This window comes from Homo sapiens, chromosome 9 (genome assembly GCF_000001405.40).
Source record: "Homo sapiens chromosome 9, GRCh38.p14 Primary Assembly".
NCBI classification, from domain to species: Eukaryota; Metazoa; Chordata; class Mammalia; order Primates; family Hominidae; genus Homo; species Homo sapiens.
In genome coordinates, this window is record NC_000009.12 from 131,854,417 (window position 1) to 131,874,045 (window position 19,629).

Below are 19,629 nucleotides of genomic sequence, written 5' to 3' on the forward strand. Positions count from 1 at the left end.
CAGATGGCTCCATGGCTGCCCAGTTAGAGACTGCATTTCCCAGCAGCCCTGGCAGCTGGGTATGCTGTGTGACGAAGTTTCTGCTAATGAAATTCAAGAGGAACTGACGTGGGCCAGTGCTGGGTCTGGGACTTAAAACACTGGCACGTGCTCCTCACGTGCCTTCCCCTTTCTGCAGACTTGGAAGGTGCCTGTGACAATGTCCTAAGATGGGAGAGCAGGATTCCCAAATGACTGCGTGGAGCACAGCTGTCCACTCCCTGGTGGGGCTCTTAAGTGGAGGAGAAACGTGTCTGCTGTCTTTAAGCCACTGCATTTTTGGACCTCTGTGCTATAGAACCTTAGCCTTTGCTAAAATGGGAAAAAGGTTTCAAAATAGTACACAGTCTGATCTCATCTTTCTGCAAAAACAACAACAACAAACCACAACAACAACAACAACAACACGTCCATAGGAGGGTCTGGAAAGGTGAGCACCAAAGTGCTCCAGTGATGAGCTCCTGCTGGTGGGAATCATGGGTATTATTTCCTTTGCTTCGCTTATTCACATTACCTCATTTCCTACAAAAGGAACATATGGATTCCTTTTGTAATTAAGAAAGCAAGCCTATGATGCCGATGAGAGCCAAGGCTGAGATGAGTAACGCATTAAGTAACAGTCCATCCCACCCGAGTGCAGGGTGTGAGCACGGCGGGTGCTGACGATCGCTTGCTGCCGTCCCGGGCTGGCTCTCCAGCTTGTGGCCTCAGTTTCCTCTCCCTGTCCCCCTGGCCTCAGCCCCTCCCTTGTCCCTTCTTCCCTGGAGGCATAGGTCATTGTCTCTATCAAGCCCGAGAGGAGCACGCTGCAGATGAAGCCGCTGCCAGCAGGACCTGCCTGTTCCCTTAGCGCCAAACTGCGGCTCACACCGAGGACAGTCAATCTGCAGCTGAAATTTCAAACTCAATTAGCACCGAGACAGGCTGGAGCTGCTCCTGAGTAACTAATCATCGCACAGCTGCCAAGTGCTCTACCTGGGATGTGCTGTGAACCTCAAGGTTTAGCTCTTCAAGTACTAATAACAGGGCACAGGCAGCCTGCAATTTAAAATTCAACTTGAAAGTGAGTTTCTGAAGTTCCTTTCCCCGGATGTAAGGACCCGGCTGGGAAGGAGAGTGGGGGAGGGATGGCAGAGACTGGGGAAAGAGGCCGCCTGCGTGTCCTAGAGAGTGAAGCCTAATTATCCGCTGCCTCTTGTCCACAATCTTGGACGTGCAGATCATTCGGCCTTGAGTGGACTCAGCAGGTGAGCAGGTGGAATGGGGCTGGCCCACCCTGTCCCATCAGGCCCGGAACCATGAGGCTCCCCATCATCTTCCACATGCTGCTGGAGATGTGGAGGCTGGGGGCACAGATGAGAAGGGCACCTTGTCCTTTTCTGTCTTCTACCCACAGACCTGATGGCCGAACAGTGCCTCCCGTCAGGTTTGCAGGGGCTCCAGATCTTGTGAGAATCCTGGTGTCGTCCCTGCCCCTCCCAATTCCAGTGCCCTTAAAAGGCTCTCGATGTAGCAGCAGGCCCACACTCTGACACCCTAAATGCAATGGTGAGTTTGCACATTAACACGGAAAGATCAGCCTTTCATGCAGTCAGTGGTGGGAAGTGGAAAAACATCACTCTGTACCAAAAGGCCAATTCCCAATTTAGTTCAGAAAAAAAAAATCTGGACCACCTTTCATAGACCTCCTCGCTCCATTCTGTCAGTTCCTACTGGGCACCCGGGGGATTCACCGTAACCCGGCCAGCAGACAGTGTGGGGTAATGGCGTCCCGGCCTCTGGTGGCCACGGGAAGCATTGGCAAGACGGGGTAACCCGGCCAGCAGACAGCGTGGGGTAACGGCGTCCCGGCCTCTGGTGGCCATGGGAAGCATTGACAAGACAGAGGGGTCAAGTTCTGGCTGAGGGTTCTGGCTTAGGCCACGTTCGATGCGGCACACTCGGGCACGGCAGGGCCAGTCCCTTGCTGCTGAGGAGCCCCAGAGCTCGGCCGTGGCCAGCCTGGCAGCCAGCCCCTCCGTGTGCTGCTGTGTGAACCCCTCTGCTTGGCTTCTCATCTATAAAACAGGGAAAACACCACACCCCCCCCCCACCCCACTCCGGGGATTACATTAGCCGACAGCGTAGGGGGCCTGGCAAGCAGAGGGGCTGCACTGCAGGAGCCCTAATTAAGTCCCATAAAATACCTTGTAGGTCGGGCCTAGAGGTCCCTCTTGGATAGTCTATTTCTAATTGAAAAAAATTCTTTTGTAGAGATGGGGTCTTGCTATGTTGCCCAGGCTGGTCCTGAACTCCTGGATTCAAGCCATTTTCCCACCTCAGCCTCCCAGAGTGCTGGGGTTATCGGTGTGAGCCACTGCACCTGGCCCACCCTTGGACAGTCTAGCTCATGTTTTGCCCCTGGTGAACCAGCACCCATCAATGGCCACGTTCCTTTCAGTGACAGGCACCAAAGGATGGCTCTGAGGCCTGGTGACCATCCTCACAGCAGCGGCGTCTCTGGCTTCCCTCGCAGTCCACCATCTTAGAACTGACCCCAACTCACCTTGGTCTCTATTTGTGTCAACTTCAGGTCAGTGCATTCTGTTTCAGTGGGAGACACACAAAGCCGGCCTCCCTCAGGTTCATCTCCTGGAGTACCCAGCTTTTGAGTGTTTGGCAAATGAACCCATCACCCTTTCAGCCCCTCTCCCCTTTCTGGATCTCAAATATACTCCCGTTCAGCCTTGATTGAAGGTTGAGAATGTCAGAGATGGGAAGACCTTAAAGGCTAGCTGCTCAGGCTCGTTTTCCTCCAAACTTCCCTTTTTTGGGGGGGGCAGGGGACGAGATCTCACTCACTCTGTCACCTAGGCTGGAGTGCGGTGGTGCAATCTTGGCTCACTGCAACCTCTGCCTCCTGGGTTCAAGCAATTCTCCTGCCTCAGCCTCCTGAGTAGCTGGGACTACAGGCACATGCCACCATGCCTGGCTTTTTTTTTTTTTTAGTACAGACAGGGTTTCATCATGTTGGTCAGTCTGGCCTCGAACTCCTGACCTTCAGTGATCCACCCGCCTCGGCCTTCCAAAGTGTTGGGATTACAGGCGTGAGTGAGCCACTGCGCCCGGCCTCAACCTCCCTCTTTAATTAGGGACTGTCAAAAAGCAGGAAAACAGAACAGCAGGCAACACGCGCATCCCCACTGCGTAGCCTCCCTGTGACCAATGCACAGCCGATCTGTTCCATCTCTAAGCCCCCAGCCCCTCCACCATCACTGAATCACCAGCCTTGTGCCTCACGGATGAGGGCATGGGGTTCTCAGATGAAGCCACTTCTCTAGGCTCCTGCCACCGCTAGCAGAAGGCTGGGATGCAGGCCTGGGCAGTGCGTCCGCCCCCCGCCACCTGCCCACATCCTTCACACTTTCTGTCATAGCCACTCTTCCTGTGCTATTATTTATTTAATGTTTTTCTTTAACAGTCACACTTTTTCACCTAAATAAATTTATTTTAAATGGACACTTTGTATCACCCCTGTAAATGGGAAACTGCCATCATTTGCGATAAACAGAAGGTTTCTCTGAGGACGACACAGAGAAGACAAAACCAGCGCATTTAGTTCCAAGTAGAAACAGCGCCTGCCTGAGGCTGTCAACTCAAGGCTCCTCTCTCTTTTGAAAACAGAGACTGGCGGGAATTGGAGCGACCTTTAGTGCCCAATGGGGATGTTCTCAGACTTGCTGCAAATTGGGAGGATTCAAACAGTTAAAAACCCAGATCACTTTCTCACAATGAGATTTACCAGGACCACAAATCCATCAATCCTCAGATAGATGCTTTTCCCCATTTGAACGTCTCTGGCGTGTGCCGTCTGCCAGCTGGCAGTCACGACGTGCGTGCCACTATCTGCACATGCTCCAACTTGGTCATAGCTGGTCATACTGTCGTCACTTCGCATGAGCTGTGCACAACGTTCATACTGCACGGGGTCAGTTTACTTGCCTTTTAAATGTCTCTGGAAAGATGTGCGGCACTGAGACAAACTGTTATTATGTACCCGATATCCTCAATTCCATCTTTTCTTGCAATGCAAGAAAGAAACAAGTGTCTTACAAGACCAAAGAAAGGATACAGCAAGTCAATGAAGCTGTGTGCTGGTCTGTTACTGGGAGTTGGGTAAAGGGATCGCCTATCACAGGCTAAACAATAAGACTTAAGGCAGGAGAAATGACTGCTCCCTTGGAATAGATGAAAGAAACGTCAAAGCAATGAAAGGCTGGTGTGACGGATTCACGTGTCACACAGGATTATCAAGACCAGGGTTTAATTGGCAGCATGTTTTTCTTTATTAGTGGTTAGTAATGATGTATCTTAGGAGCACTGGCATCTTGAATTTGACAAAGTAGGTGTGGCGTTTAATCTACAGCCACCCCTGGTCTGGAAAAGTCCTGCCTTACCCTGTGTGCCCCTCCCACTTCCCCGAGTGGGCCATCAAAGCACGACCATTCCTCCTGGGCAGAGGCCTTAGGTGCCAGGGCACGTGACAGTCACCTGAGGGCTGCTAAAGATCAGGTTGCTGGACCCCACCCCAGAGCATGTGTAATTCTTTCTTTTTTTGAGATAGGGTCTTGTTCTGTCTCCTAGGCTGGAGTGCAGAGGTGTAGCCTCGACCTCCCACGCTCAAGCGATCCTCCCACCTCAGCCTCCCGAGTAGCTGGGACTACAGTCGCACACCACCACGCCTGGCTAATTTTTTCGGTATTTTTTTGTAGAGATGGGGCTTTGCCATGTTGCCCAGGCTGGTCTTGCACTCCTGGGCTCAAGTAATCCACCTGTCTTGGCCTCCCAAGTGCTGGGATTACAGGTGTGAGCCACCGCACCCCGCCTGGGGATGTGTATTTCTAGTAAGCGTCCACGGTGGCAGTGCTGCAGGTGGGATGCCACGTGGGCAGGCACTGTCCTAGAGCCCTCAGCACGAAACCCTCTCCATTCTCTGGCTCTTTTCGGCCAGGGGTGGCGGGGGGAAGGCTGGTGGTACCAGAAGCCAGGGAGGACCCACTGGTTCTTTTGGACATCTCAGAAGGTGTCATCTCTCTTGACGCTTTGTTCACGGCAAAGAGAACATTGTTCTAGCATGGGCCTGGCCAGGCTGGCTCTGGGCGATGCCACCACCCTCCTCAAGCCCTTCGCCAGGTCAACGATCTTCACAGAAACAGGCCATGTCTTTAAAAGTTGGTGCTGAGGCACTGAACAAAGTCGGGAGATGGGGCTGGGATCGAGTCATGGTAATATTTAGGACAAAACCTGGGGCCCACAAGCCGACACCCCTGCGAGTCCTGCTCACACGCATCTGGCCGGCTAACCCGGGCAGGTTCCTTTCCCTCTGGGGTATGCGTGTGACTGGTTTAGTAAAAAGAAACTTCTGCATGTTCTTTTTCTCAAAAGGAATCATTCATTTTTCAAGCCATCACAGCGTCTCTGAAATAGAGGATCTGCCAGCACTGCCCTCTCGCCCGCAAGCAGGACGCAGGGCAGTACGTGCTCAAAAAGAACCACCCTGTGAACATGGGACGTGCTGGTTTCTGCTTCTTCAAGAGGCCCAGGTCCATTATGTGTTCATGAACTGAATGTGTAGTACTTATAAGGTGCTGTAACAAACAGGAGACAAAGCCTTATCCAGGATACAAAAGGTTTATTGCTTATAAAAATAAGTTACCAAAACCCAAGCCCCACAAAACACAAGAACCCCGCATGACGATACCCATGAACACAAGGGCTCATTCCAGTAACAGCTCGCGGAGACGACAGACACCAGCACTGCCGACACACATGGACGAGGAGCATGCTGCACAGCTTCCTTCTACCAGGTTCTAGAAAGGTCTTCTTTGCCTTCAGTCCGCTGGCTAGTGGGAATAATTAGTCCCATCAGCCACAGAGGGAGTCTGCTCTTCAAGAGTGGCCTCTGCACACATGGCGCTGCTTTATGAAAGGGAGGAGCAGCTGTACACATCTGGGCAGTGAGGAACCAGCTGAGCCTTCTGTGGGCTTCCTGCGTGTCTGGGAAGGTGCTGGGTGGGGTCTGAGGCTGGGGCCAGCGTGGGGGCTACTGCCGGCAGGTGTCATGGAAGGCTTCGAGGGTTCGGAAATCCCTCCATGTCGGGGGAAGGCCGTCCTGCAGAAACTTCCCGCAGCGCTGGCACGGGGCCTGGAACAGCTTTATGTAACTTCTTAACCAGGTCTAAAAAGAGAAACGAGGAGAGAAGTGAAAGAATGGGATACGGGTGCTCCCAAAGTCCTCCTTCCTATCAAGCCTAATGGCCCAGACAACTTAAGTTGGCTTTGGCCCCAGAAGATGCCCTGTGATTTCACAGGGAGCAGCAGGCGGAACCCACAAGGTCACCTGACTGCTGATGTTCACGTCTGATGCTCGCGTGCCCCTCCTAACCGAAGGAGTTTTGAAAACAGAAACCCCTACTCTCAAAAGCAGGAAGGCCTCCCTGGAGTCCCCGTGAACCACCGAGCAGCCTGGTGGTCTGGGGGCCAGCACCCCACTTTCACTTTCTGGGTCCCATGTCTTCTGAATGTCAGTATCCATCCTCTTCTCCTTGCCCACTACTAAGAGGTGGCTGTGCATGTGTGCTGAGGAAGCCTTGGAACCGAGGACAATTCCAGAGTTCTCCGCGGAGGTCAACATGCCTTCTAGCTAATCTGATTTCAGAGGTTGTCACTCATTGTCACAGTGTGGCCTGACATACTGGGGGGAGGGGTGGGGACAGCCCTGGTGCCACCAAATAACATCATAAGCAGCAAATCCACACTTGAATGGTTCAGAGTGCAGAGCTTTCTTGGGCGTCATACATAAGGATGAGCCTCCCGTAACTCAATTCTCAAACACAAGGAGATTCACTACCAAAGAAAAAAATACCCAAACGTAAAACAGCAGGCAAGCAAGTTCTCGCGGTGAAAGGGCACGTGAATCTTGTCATTTAATGTCCTCCTGAATTAAGAGAAAACTGTTATTTGAAGAGGTTGGCCGAGCTTATTGATACACATTCTTCCATCTTCACCACAGCTGCCTTCATGGTGACAGGGCATGGCCCATCAGTACTGTCCCCCTTTCCAAAGGCCAGGTGTTTGGGGGTTTTGGCAATAAACACGAGGTCAAGAGGTCCTTCAGTTAAACTACTTATTTTTCCCTAAGTAGAAGAAGTTCTGTCTCTGCCACAAATAGTACTCATGTCTGTGCCTCAAATCAATCAATCAACAGATTCGTATTAATTAGCTGGTGTGGGCTGAGCACAGTGCTGAGTGCTGTGACAGATGTAAATGGTTCTTTTTTTTTTTTTTTTTTTTTATGAGACCACATCTCGCTCTGACACCCAGGCTGGAGCGCAGTGGTGCAATCGATCATAGCTCACTGTAACCTTGAACTCCTGGGCTCAAGCGATCCTCCCGCTTCAGCCTCCTGAGTGGAGTCACTGGGATTCAAATCTTCCCTAAATCCCACAGTCAGTTACCAAAGGGAAAGGGGGCATTACAACGTGTTAGGCTCAAAAGCAAGTCTTTATATCTATCTGAAATTGGAGCTCTTGCTGAAGATGGTCAGGGGAACTGTTCCCTGGACACACAGAAGGACCACTCTGTGGGAGCTCTGAGCACCTGGCTGTGTTGTGCCCACTCTGCCAGCATCATGAAGCCAATCAACGCACCAGGGATGTGTCTTCTGAGGAATGAACTCCAGGCTCTCTGAGCAGTGGCACTGTTGATGCCATGTGATAAGATGCACACTGATTTGGCCTTGCTAACAGGTCTTTGGAGTCGGTTCTCTAACCGGCAGACTTTCTAGCATGAAGAAAACAGGGAGTCCCAGCAGCGGTGGATGATGGGGTCTGCTGGCGTGAGAGCATGCGGCCGTGTGAGCATGCTGGCGTGAGAGCATGACGGTGGAACAGCTGGCGGCTACGTCTGTCAAGGACGCGGGGACATGGTGTTAGCCCTGCTTAGGCCAACTGGTGGCGGCGTGATAAATGCTGATAAACTGGCCCTGGGGTTCGGGGGAAGTCCTGACTTGCAGTGTTTGCCGATTTCCGTGGTGTCAACACTCCCACCAAGTTTGATTTCAAACTAGTAGTGGTTGAAGAACCAGCTCGCAAGATACTGAACAGGCACTGGCAGGAGCCGGCTGCAGCACCCCATTGGAATGGCTGCTTTGGGGCTGCTATCATCTCGAGCTCCAACTCCGAAAATCGAAGGAGGAAACGTCTTGGGAAACTGCACGATCTGTTAATTCACTGCTACATGCTCTGTGCCAACCACAGGGCCTGGCCCAGATTAGGAGCTCAATGAAATATCTGTGGACTAAGTCAATGCTGGAACTATTTTGGAAGATCATTTCTGAAACCACCGCTTTTTCAGCAAGTAGAGAAAGCACCAGTGAATGAAGCTGGAAGTGGTTTCTCCCAGATCCCTTCGCAGTTTAAAGAAAGTAGCAGTTTTAAACTGGCAGCCCCATCTCCCACTGGGAGGCCCTCAAAGTCTGAAGATGCAACGGCTGCCCTTCAAGCTCCCTGTTCTCACTTGAAGGGAGCTGAGGTTTAAACAGGAGACCTGACTCTTGAAGCCACTTACCATGAAGGATCGGACCACGACATCCGGCATCTGGGGCAGCTGATAGTGGAGCAGGGCAGTGGTGGCATGGTCTGTCACCTGAGAGTGAAGGACAAAGACGAGTTAGCGGCCACTCCAAGCTGGCATAGAGAAAACAAGCAGGACAAATGCACGCCTTCTGTGTGAAAACAGATCTGAGTATCTCGTGGAGGAAAGGGCATCTAAAATAAAATCTCTGTAGAAAAATTAGTTAGCAGAGTTGGGGACCCAGAGGGGGAGAAGAGGCATGCTGTCGGCAGAAAGGATGCAGGCCTGGAGGCAGGGGGCGTGTGGAAGATTCCAGCAACGGAAAGCCTGGCCAGGCTGGAGCACTGGCAGAGGGAGCGGCCAGAGGCCAGTGGGGGCAGATCCCAGAGGGGATCCCAAGCCTCCCTGCTCAGCAAGGCGCGGCACACACAGCACATACGACAAGGAGCACTTCCGCCCGGTACGCACACTTCCTCTTCCTCCTGCGATGGTTTTCCCAACAGGGCAATTGGTCTCTTTCCATTTCCTTGAATTCTCATTCTGTCACCATTTGTAGCCACACAGGATTTATGATGGGGAGCCTGGCAGTTTCTGAGCCACACAGGATTTATGATGGGGAGCCTGGCAGTTTCTGAGGCTGTTCTGTTGGGCCTCACCGTTGCTAGGATGGCCCTTCGCAGGAGCCCGGCGCGCCTGGTGTGGTCCCCTCACCAGCTCTCTGAAGGCTGTGGCCTATGGTCAGCACCTTAGGGGTCTGTGCCTATTGTCTCCTGACTCCTCAGGAGAAGTTTATCAGCAAGGCCAAGGGCAAGGCTGCTTGAAGTCCAGTGAAGGCATCAGGTGACCAGATGGACAGAGCACAGGGTTTAAGCTCCAGCACCACCCCCTGACCTGGATCCAGCTCCTTATCCTCTCTGCGTCTCCATGCCCCTTCCAAGGAGCAAAGGGGCTGGCCTCAGAACCCTGGTGGTTCTGAAACTGGATGACACTGTGAATTGTTAATGCCCGCCGTCAATCAGCATATGAGTAGATTATACCTAATTTGATAGTTATGTTCAAAGTAATGGTTTACATGATTGTCCTCATTAGGGATTCTTGACATCGCACATGTCATCATTAAAAACAAAACAGGCCAGGTGCGGTGCCTCATGCCTGTAATCCCAGACCTTTGGGAGGCTGAGTCAGGGGGGATCACTTGGGCCCAGGAGTTCAAGACCAGCCTGGACAATAGAGCAAGACCCCGCCTCTATAGAAAATACAAAAAATTAGCTGGCTGTGATGCCACACACCTATAGTCCCAGCTACTCAGGAGGCTGAGATGGGAGGATCATCCGAGCCTGGGAAGTTGAGGCTACAGTGAACTGTGACTGTGCCACTGCACTCCAGCCTGGGCGACAGAGACCTGTCTCAAACAAAACAAAATGAAAAAACCACACCTAAAATAAAAAACCCAAAAAACTCCAGAGAAAATCCTTAGCTTTGAGAAGAATGAACATAGGTCTAACTTGTGTAGACGTGTTCATTTTCTAACCCCCAATGAACACTGTGTATGTGGCTGAACCCATGCAGGCGCAGAGCAAGCTGGGCAGGTGGAGACCAGGGTCCGCGCCCCGCACGGTGATGTGTGTCCACACCTGCAGCTGGAGAGGCTGCCCCACAAAACGTGAGGACGCCGGCTCTGCAGCCAGGCAAGCCGGGGCCCGGCCCCTGGCCTCTTATGGGGGCCTCTCTAAGCCTCAGTTTCCCCTTCCATAAAATGGAGACTGTACTGCATACTGAGTAAGGCTCGTGAGAGGACAGAGTGAGGCCAGGCGTGGGAAGCACTCACTCTCTGGCAATGCCACCAGCCCCGCCTGCCCAGTCTCCTCTTCTGCTCTGCCTGGGCCCTGGACTTGCCCTATTTCCCACTGGACTTTCACGGCCTGCCCCATACTGCATCCCCAAGGCCTTAGGATATTACCCTGCATACAGCAGGTGCCCAATACATATTTGCTGAATAAAGAAGTAAACTTAAAAACGCCCACCCACCAAAGGCCATGTACCATAAACACCTGCGCTTTCTTGCAAATACATCAACGGTTCTTGTAGCCAACACTGTTGAGAAATTCTTACCCAAGTGGCTTTCAAGATAAATGGTACTTATTCCTTCGAATGCCAAGACTGCTTTTATTTTAAGCATTTTTGACAGACAGCTTTCTAAAATGAGCAATGTTTTTTTTTCTTTTAAACAGTAGTAATGATAACTTTGCAAAATGACTGGTGGTAATTGGCGGGGGGACATTAATGGCTACGAAACACAGCAAAGCAAACTGGGCTCGAACGGTCCCCGAACTTGAACGCTTGGTTCTTGCCCATCTAGCTCCCTTGCTAAGAAAACCTGTGAAAGTGTCATTTTACAGGCTGACAAGATGTTTTTTGCAATTATACTTGCCATTACAGAAGAACCAAAGTTTCTGGAGAATTCTTTCCCCTCACCCCCTTTATTTTTAAAATGTCTCCAGTGTAGCCCCTGTTGGAATAGCCGAGGCAGCTGGGCTGGCTTTGTTTGCTCCGGCCCTGCTGTTCCGTAGCTCCGTGTGTGACACCTTCCCTGCGATAGGAACGTCAGTCCCTGGGATCCCCTGGGTGAGACCACCTCCATCCATTTCAGCCTTTCAGCAGCCATGTGCAGGCAGAGAGGCTTTGTCTGGCTGCACTTTTATTTCTTTTGTTTTCACATTTTTAAACACAAATGACCAACACTTAAAATTTAGGAAACTTCACTTAACTGTGGTGCCCAGCTCCTCTTGAAGCATCGGAGGATCTGGGGACCATCTCATAGGCTACTGTGAAGATCAAAGGGGGCCCAGCTTCTCCTCATCTCTGTGAGTGTGACCCTGGCACTGCCACGTGGCCACCAGCTGCAGCAGCTGAGGAGCGGTGACACGTGCAGTTTGCCTGAGCACCCTAGGGTCTTGGATCCAGCCTACTCCACTCATCAGGGGCCCTGTGGCCTTTGGAGTTTAGAGCCTCTAACCAAACCAACAAGACCCTGCACTCCCAGGTTCCCCAAACCCTCCCCAGCCTGCTGTTCCCTGGGTACCTGGCCTGGCTTCCTGATCTTTATTTGAGCTCATCTTCCCTGGCCTGACAGATCTGTGCCCATCTCCTCCTCCCTTCCTCAGCTGACCTCTGGACTTGACCTCCTCTGGCTGAACTTGAGTTCTCCAAGCATTCCAAGACAACTCAGTACTGATAACTGCAAGGTGCTCTCTCCAGGCAAGGCGTCGTGCAAATTACAGGAACATCTCAAGTGGTCTTCCAGACCTGCACCTCCTCCAGCATTTTTGCTAAATGGCCTTTGACCCAGAGGCCTGAGCCAGAAACCTGGGCCCTGCCCTGTCGCCTCTCTTCCCCCTGCCTCATACCCAAGCAGCCTCGTGGTTCCAAGTTATCTATCTCAAATCCTTCTACTTCTTCCCATCTTGCCTGTCTCAACACGGCTCAGAGGGAACATTCTGCAGCAAAGAGGGAAAGAGCGTGGGCTCCATCCCTTCTAGCAGTGACGCCTTGGGCGAGGCACTTCATCTTTATTAGCTACAGTTTTCCCATCTGGAAAATGGGGATAATGACAGAGTGCCTACCACAGGGGATGACAGTGAGGGTGAAGTAGTGGGCAGAAGCGTGTGCTGGTCAGAAAACATGAGTGATTGCCATCGTTCAACTAGAAACCCAAGTATGTCACTCCCCTAAAACGCTCTCATGGCTTTCCCTGCACTCAGGATGAAATGCGAACTGTGAACTCCATGTGAAACCCTGCAGCACCCGGTGTCTGCCTCCTTTCCTCGGGTCCCTCAGCTCCTCAAATGCCCATCTCTGTCCTCCCTGAGTCCTCCCCTCAGCACGGGCCTCTGTCCTTTCCCCCTCTCCTTCGCGTGTTGAGGGAAGCCCCCCAGGCTCCCCCGATGGGGCTTGTCTCCTTGCCTGGCTCTCTTCTCCCATCTCAATCCTCATATCTGAACTTGGTATTTTTTGCCATGTTTGTTTCGTGTCAATTTCCCTACCTTGAGCCCATGTCAGTCTAGTGCCTGATGCAGAGGTCCTCAGGTCATGTGTGCAGACGGTGAGAAGGACCGCCATTCTGACTCTCTGCGGGGAGAGTGGCTCAGATGAGGTGGGTGGAGCCAGGGGCCTGAAAGGAGTGGGGACTGCGGGACAGGAGCTGAGGACCTGGGCTCTGGTCTACCTCTAAGGTGCTGGGGCATCTTGGACTTGCCCTCTGTGGTAGAAGTTACCAGCGGTCACTCATCCTTGAGTGACACAGCCCCGTCAAAACTCAGGATGGATATGTAATGTGAGGAAGAAATGAGCTTGAGTTGTGCAGAACTACAGGAGGTTTGTCACTCAGCATCCTCCTCCTCTCTGCAGACCAATCTGCCTCCTTGGATATTCACTGCACATCTAGGAAATGGGCCACCATGTTGGCCAGGTCTCCCAATCCCATTACAGTGGTGGCACAGCAAGTTCGAGCTGCGGCCAAGGAATTTTCCCCTTAAGAATGGTGCTGCTTGAAATGTTTGGGGACCAGCGGTGCTGGCACCATCTAGGAGTTGGTTAGAAATCTGCCCTCTTGGGCCCCTCTCTAGCCACAGCATTGGAATCTCCTGGGTGGGGCCCAGACACTAAGTCAGCCCCTCCAGGCTATTCCTAGGGATGCTAAAATGCATGAGAATGCGAGGCTGGTGAACACACAATCACTGGGGGTCTTTTGTCAGATTCTCATCTAGGAGCTCGGGGAGGGGTGGAGCGTTGGCACTGCCAGCTGACTCCCAGGGGTGCCCACACTGCTGGTTAGGGACTGGGCTTTGAGTGGCAAGGCTGGGGCATATCCCAGGCACTACAGGAGAATGGCCCCCAGAGGGCTGGGCATTTGATTCTGGGCCATGAAACAAAGAAATACAAATCAGAAGGACAGTCTGTCTTCTCATGAATCAAAATGAATGGTACCAGTTTCACAGTGGGCACTGTGGGGTGCCAGGGTGGAGGGTTTTCACAACGGGTGCTTGTGGAGTGGGGGTTTTTCCTTATTTCTGAAAAGTGCTTTTTTTAAAAGATCCATCGGATATTTTATTAACTTATAGTAGCTATTATTAATAAGAGCTTATTATGTGCCAAGTCCTATGTGCCCCTCTCATTTAATTCCCACACTAACTTGGAGATAGGTGCTTTTCTTTTTCTTCTTTTCTTTTGAGACAGGGTATTGCTCTGTCGCCTAGGCTGGAGGGCAGTGGCCCAATCTTAGCTCAGTGCAGCCTTGACCTCCTGGACTCAAGCAATCCTCCCACCTCAGCCTCCTGAGTTGCTGGGACTATAGGCTCACGCCACCCCGCCCAGCTAATTTTTTATTTTTGTAGAATCAGGGTCTCACTGTATTGCCCAGGCTGGTTTCCAACTCCTGGCTCAAGTGATTCTTCTGCCTCAGCCTGACAAAGTGCTGGGATTACAGGCGTGCGCCACTGCGCCCGGCCCACTATTCTGATTTACATTGGACAGAGGAGGAGTGAGGATGTCCAGAAGTTGGGAAGATGCACATAGTGGGTGAGGGCAGCAGTGTGGGAGCCCGAACACTGGGAGGCCCAGGCCTCTGCCCACCTCCTACCCACTGACTCCCATCCCCGCTCTCCCAGTTTGCAGATAAAGGTGCAGGCCCAGGGCTGTGGCCAGCAGCTGCCCGCCATCTCCCAGGGCAGGTAAGTCTTTGGGAAGCTACAGTTCCGACGCCAGGCACAGGCTGGGAGATTCACAAATGTGCCTGCTGTAGCACAGGCTGCTCAAGGGTAGCACGAACTGAATTCACTAGAAAGTGTCCTCTTCAGAGGCGGCGGGAGCCATGCGCCACAGCCCTGCTGGGCGTCTGGCTCACAGGCAAGGCACCTAATTAGTTTTTCCATTGCTGGTCGGCAATCTGGCCAAACTCAGCCTCTTTTTCAAAAAGTCCAGTATAAAGCATATATTCTCTTCCACTGCCAAGTGCTGGCAGCTTTTTCCAGCGCTGATGCAATCACTTGATTTCTTCAATTTCCCACCACCAATTACAGAAATATTTTAATAAAGGAAACAGAGCTGATGAACTCGCCATGTTTTCCCTCCTGTCCTCCCCAAGTCCTCCACTGCTGGTTTTGGAATTCCTCTGGGTGGCTGTGGAGCACAGGAGAACTTCACCTACAGTGATCTTCCGTCTTGTCAAAGCACTCCACCTTCAATATTTTTTTGTTTTACATTTTTCAACAACAAAGTTGTTTTTTTGCTCAGCATCCAAGACTTGGAAAAAACAGGCCTGGGGCAAAAAAAAAAAAAAAATCTGCTATTAACTAATTTAAATCCACTCTGTGGCAGCCGAGGTTCGGTCCCATTGTGCGGCAAAGCTAATGAGATTCCGCTGGGAGATAAAAGCCGCCCTCCCCCTTGGCGGAGGCCAGGAAGGGCACTAATGCTCCCAAGGAGAGGGAGGCGATTCACCCACCAGTGAGTGCAGGTTTGAAAAAAGGCTTGTAAAAACATCAAAGGGATGCAAGCCCAAGGAAAGGGAGGGAGGAGAAGGCAGGAGGGTAGCAATAAACCAGTGAGGCAGGGGTCCCTGAAGCAAGAGGAATGCGGGGATGGGGAGACAGGCCTCACAAAGAGGGGCAGAGGGTGATGCAGGGAGGGGTTTCACTGGGAGGCGCCTGGTTCACCCCAAGGCAGAGAAGTCTCAGATGCCTCATTTGGGGTGTGTCCCGTCTCAATGGTGACCTGCAGTGATTTACTTTGAGAAGGGTGACATCTCCATTGCCTGCCAACAGATCCAGTCCACTTGATCAATGTTCCTTTCAGTTTTCCCTACCCTCTCTCAGCATATCCAAACCCAGGAGAGAATGGAGCTTAGGGAGGGAGTAGGGACTCTTTCAAGAGACCTTGAAACAGCTGCCAGTCAACGTGCTGGAAAAGGAGATGCCAGTCAAAACAGTCTCCCAAAGCTCCTCTGCCATATTGTGTGCATGGAGCTCCTGACAGCCCCCCTCCTACAATCAGAGCTGGAGGGTGCTTTGGAGATCATGAGTTATTTTAGCTAAACCCAGAGTGGCACTGCTTGCAATAACAGCAACAACCCACATCGCCATTTACTGAGCACTAATCCTGTGCAAGAGCTGGTCTACGCTGCACAGCTCAGGGTGTGTGGCTCCTCCAACAGGAGCCCAGCCTCTGGATCTGTCCCTTGTGAGCTGTGTGACCTTGGGCGAGGATTAAATGGGCCGATGCAGGGACAGTGCACTGACATACAGACCTCAAGTGTACGACGCATGGCAAGCGCCCGCCAAATGTGTCCCCTCGTGGTTTTAGCCCGCTGAATCCCCACGATGACCTTATGACAGAGGTACTCTCACGTTTGGGACTTCTAAGTCAGGGGGCTAAGTCACAGGGAGGTTAAGTGACTTGCCCAAGCCAAGGAGCTGCTAGGTGGCACAGCAGGAGTTTGTTCCGACCTTCTGAACCCCAGCTTGAGTGCCCAGACTCTATGCCCCAAGCCTCATGGGCCCCCCACTCCAGGCCTCTTGGGGTGGACAGGGGTTGTGGGGGGATGAAGAAAAGTGCCATTTCCAGGCCCTCTCCTCCCCAGAAGGGACTGGACCTCAGCACTTTGAGGGTGGAGATGGGATTGGATAACAAGTCTCCTCACTTACACCCCAGTTCCTGTCACTTATACAATGTTCCTTCCACCTCTCAGCCAGAAGCTTCAACCTGTCTGGCTCCCTGCTATGTGCTGGCCCCAACCCTCCAAACGGTCTGACAGAGACACCGGTGGGCCCTCAAGAAGACCTCCAGATTGAATGAGTCTCCCTGCTGTGGACAAAGAAGGGGAAATCGGGCAAATACAAGGCGGCTGCATCAGGTGGGCATGCCCACACATTCATCGAGGGAATGAAAAAGTGTAGTGTGAGAAAAGGTGCAGGGCGGGGAGAGTGGGATGGTCCTACTGTGGACCCCAGATTCAGTGTGCATCCCACTGTGTGCCCGGGATTCAGTGTGCATCCTACTGTGAGCCCTGGATCCAGGTGTGCGTCCTGCTGTACGCCCCGGATTCGGTGCTCACCCTACCATACACCCCACATTCGGTATGCAGCACCCACACGCTTTTTCCTACTCAGGCCCTCTCCTGCGGTGGGGGCAAAGATAACAGGTTTAGGCCTAGCAAGATGATTTCTCACTTAAGCTTAACTCCCAGATTCCAGGTTTTATGTTGACCAGATAGAGGTTTGTTCTGTAGCAGTAAGGGAAGAATAAAGGACACTGTAATGACACAGAAAGGACTGGGGAGAAAAACCCTCTTAATACACTATTGTCCTCAGCAGTTTCCTCTTTAAAAAGCAAGGGCCTGTTGGGCTCCTTGAAGGGGAAAAGTTAAGAAGATGGCAATGCCAGTCACCAGCCTGGTACAGGAACAACGGCACCATTCACAGCAAGACCCTTGTCCTCTGTTTCAGGGGTGACCTTGTACTTGTCACCCATGCTGGAGTGTGGTGGTCTGATCACAGCACACCGCAGCCTCGAACTCCTGGGCGCAAGTGATCCTCCTGCCTCAGTCTCTCAAATAGCTGGGACTACAGACACACACCCCCACGCCTGGCTAGTTTTTTAATTTTTAGTAAAGACGAGGTCTTGCCATGTTGTCCAAGCTGGTCTTGAACTCCTAGGCTCAAATGATCCTCCTGCCTCCCAAAGTGCTGGGGTTATGGGCCAACCTTGCACCTCTTTCCTATCTTTTTTCCTCCGAATTTTCTGAATACTTTCAACTTGGGGTATTTGATTTGATTTAAATGGAAACTTACAGTTCCTGCCAGGCATTCTAAAACAGGGGCCCTTGTATTTCTCAGTGATCCAGGGATTGTCCTCAGGGGCTCCCGAGTGCCCAAAGGTCATGGGCATCATCTGGCCCCAGGGGGCATGCTCCTGGGCCGGAGTGGAGGCTGGCGACGCAGCATGCAGGTGAGGAACAGACGCTGGAGGCTGACTGCTGGGAACCGCCTTCCAGCTCCTGGCTGGTGGACCAGGCTGGGGACCAGGACCCAGGAGTTCACAGGCTCCCTGAGATGATTTTGGGTGCAGGTTCAAGGGCCGCTGCGGGCCACTGCCTGCTTCCCACCACCAGGGGACAGGACTGTGGCCGAGCAGCGCCTGGGGGAGCTGAGCTTGAACAGAGACGCTCTTCCTAACGCACCTGCTGAGGGCATTATCTGCCAGCACACAGCCCCCGAGGCCAAGCTAGAAGAGCGGGCGCCTCTACTATTCGGAGTATTTCCTCACAAGATTAGTAAACAGGGAAAGTTAAGTACTCAAGTGTTTAGAAGTTGCTTATTTAAAAGAGAAGCCTGGTAGGGACCCAGACTGTGGCTTCCCTCCAGCCAATATCGGCTTCTACGTACTGTGAAGAGAAGATTCTCTTAGATCTGGGTGAAAGTGACAAAAAGGCAGACAGAGGGGAACCGTAAGGAGACCGGGGTTTGACCCTAGCTTAGTGGCGAATGGCCTGGGGGGCCTCTTCCCTGCTGGCCCTCGGTAGAAGAGCGTGGGGAGGCTGGGGTGGGGCTGGGTGATTCTGCAGGCCCCTCTAGGTCTAGGTTTTCAGCAGATGCTGCTGCAGAGCCTGAGCTGTCCTAGTTATCTCCTGGCAGCATGTGCACACTGTGCCCTGAAGTTCCTGCCCCAATCCAGGAACCCACCTGCTGCCCTGATGCGATGGCACCCTCAGGTGGGCCTCAGATTCCAGGCCAGTTCAAAGAGCTTGAGGATTCAGCTTGGAACCAGGGAGGCCACCTGCACAGCACTGTCCTCTGTGTGGGAAGCCTCTGTGCCGCTCAGCCAGACTTTGGAGCACTCAAGTAGCAGGCAGCAAAGCCAAACGTGTGCTAGGCACAGGTGCCCAGGCAGTTCCCACGATGCAGAGATCAGAATGGACTTTCATTGGGTAGATGTATTTTAATGTTACACAAGGAGATCAGCCCAAGAGTTTGGGTCTCTACTAAGAGTTTTGCCAAGGACAGACCCACCAGTAAGGAGAGGGACAGTAGGAATCTCTTGGAAGGAGAAAACTCTTTGTGGGTCCTGTGGGCAAAGACATGAACCAAGTGTGTTAAATGTTTAAAGAGACAGCAATCCCTGCCAGCAGTGTTGCTCTAAGGATGTGTGCTGGTTCGATGAAGAATATTTAAAACAGTCCCAGAAGTACTCATTCCATGAAAAGAGGAGCCATCATTATTTCGAAACTGGAATGCTATGAAGTCAGCCCTGACAGTGATGTTAGGGGGCGATGGGGAGTGCGCAGAGACGAGCTTCTCAAATGGGGATGAAAGTACAGTAGAGCGGAAGCAGGGGATTTATTTTTTATTATGCAGCTCTCGTCTCTAATCTGTACCTCGGATTTGTATGCCACAGGTTCAGCGGGCCTAGCAGCCTGGAGAGGAAACATCGAAGCCCACAGGGACTTGGGATTACTTGGATGGGATCAATATTTCCTCCTCTGCTTAATGAAGGAGCCATTTGCATGGGCTCTGAAGGGCTTATAACTGTCCACCAGAGCCAGGCATGCTGCTCTGGGATGAGACCAGAGGCAAGGCTGCCTGAGCTGGAACTGGAGAGGTGAAGGCAGACATTGCTGCTCCATCTTGTCCGAAATCCCTGCTGACACTTTAGAGATCAAGCTCTGTGTCTGAGAGGGGCGAGCCTGTGGATGTACTCAGCAAGATCTCTGGCACACACCAGGGCCTCTACATATCAGATGTGGTTTGGTTTGGGGGTTCCAACCTTATCCTCTTTAAAGTCCCAGCCAGGGTGCCACTGACGCCTGAAAGGGAAGCCCCCAACTCCCTGGACCCTTGAGTGCAGACTGGCTGCAGACAGCCTTTAGGGGTGATGTACCCCCGCTGGCCACTCCACAGCCACCTACAGGATCCTTCTGAAAGC

At 52.3% G+C, this 19,629-nt stretch overlaps 1 protein-coding gene across 5 annotated transcripts in view, besides 3 other annotated features; it reads right to left on the reverse strand.

The window, feature by feature from the left end:
* Positions 254–1,203: an enhancer, noted in NCBI's record as "H3K4me1 hESC enhancer chr9:134730057-134731006 (GRCh37/hg19 assembly coordinates)". NCBI's record gives its function as "activates a minimal SCP1, AML or CMV promoter by ChIP-STARR-seq in naive H9 embryonic stem cells {active_cell/tissue: H9 hESC(naive)}" and the evidence as "EXISTENCE:reporter gene assay evidence [ECO:0000049][PMID:30033119]".
* Positions 1,204–2,151: an enhancer, noted in NCBI's record as "H3K4me1 hESC enhancer chr9:134731007-134731954 (GRCh37/hg19 assembly coordinates)". NCBI's record gives its function as "activates a minimal SCP1, AML or CMV promoter by ChIP-STARR-seq in naive H9 embryonic stem cells {active_cell/tissue: H9 hESC(naive)}" and the evidence as "EXISTENCE:reporter gene assay evidence [ECO:0000049][PMID:30033119]".
* Positions 1,706–2,000: a silencer, noted in NCBI's record as "tiled region #13276; K562 Repressive DNase matched - State 12:CtcfO". NCBI's record gives its function as "represses a minimal TATA promoter and a strong SV40 promoter by Sharpr-MPRA in K562 cells {active_cell/tissue: K562}" and the evidence as "EXISTENCE:reporter gene assay evidence [ECO:0000049][PMID:27701403]".
* The window catches only part of MED27 (mediator complex subunit 27), a 219,756-nt gene continuing 205,822 nt past the window's right edge, over positions 5,696–19,629 (reverse strand). For 3 of the 5 annotated variants that reach the window (NM_001253881.2, NM_004269.4, XM_017015329.2), the window contains 2 exons: positions 8,647–8,724; positions 5,696–6,256 (listed from right to left, as the gene is read on the reverse strand). In NM_001253881.2, the coding sequence (NP_001240810.1) occupies positions 6,122–6,256; positions 8,647–8,724 (213 nt within the window). In that variant the 3' untranslated portion in view covers positions 5,696–6,121. Of the gene's footprint in view, positions 6,257–8,646; positions 8,725–10,798; positions 14,969–19,629 lie in introns of those variants that run through there. The other 2 variants (XM_005272236.4, XM_017015330.3) reach the window with 1 other exon arrangement.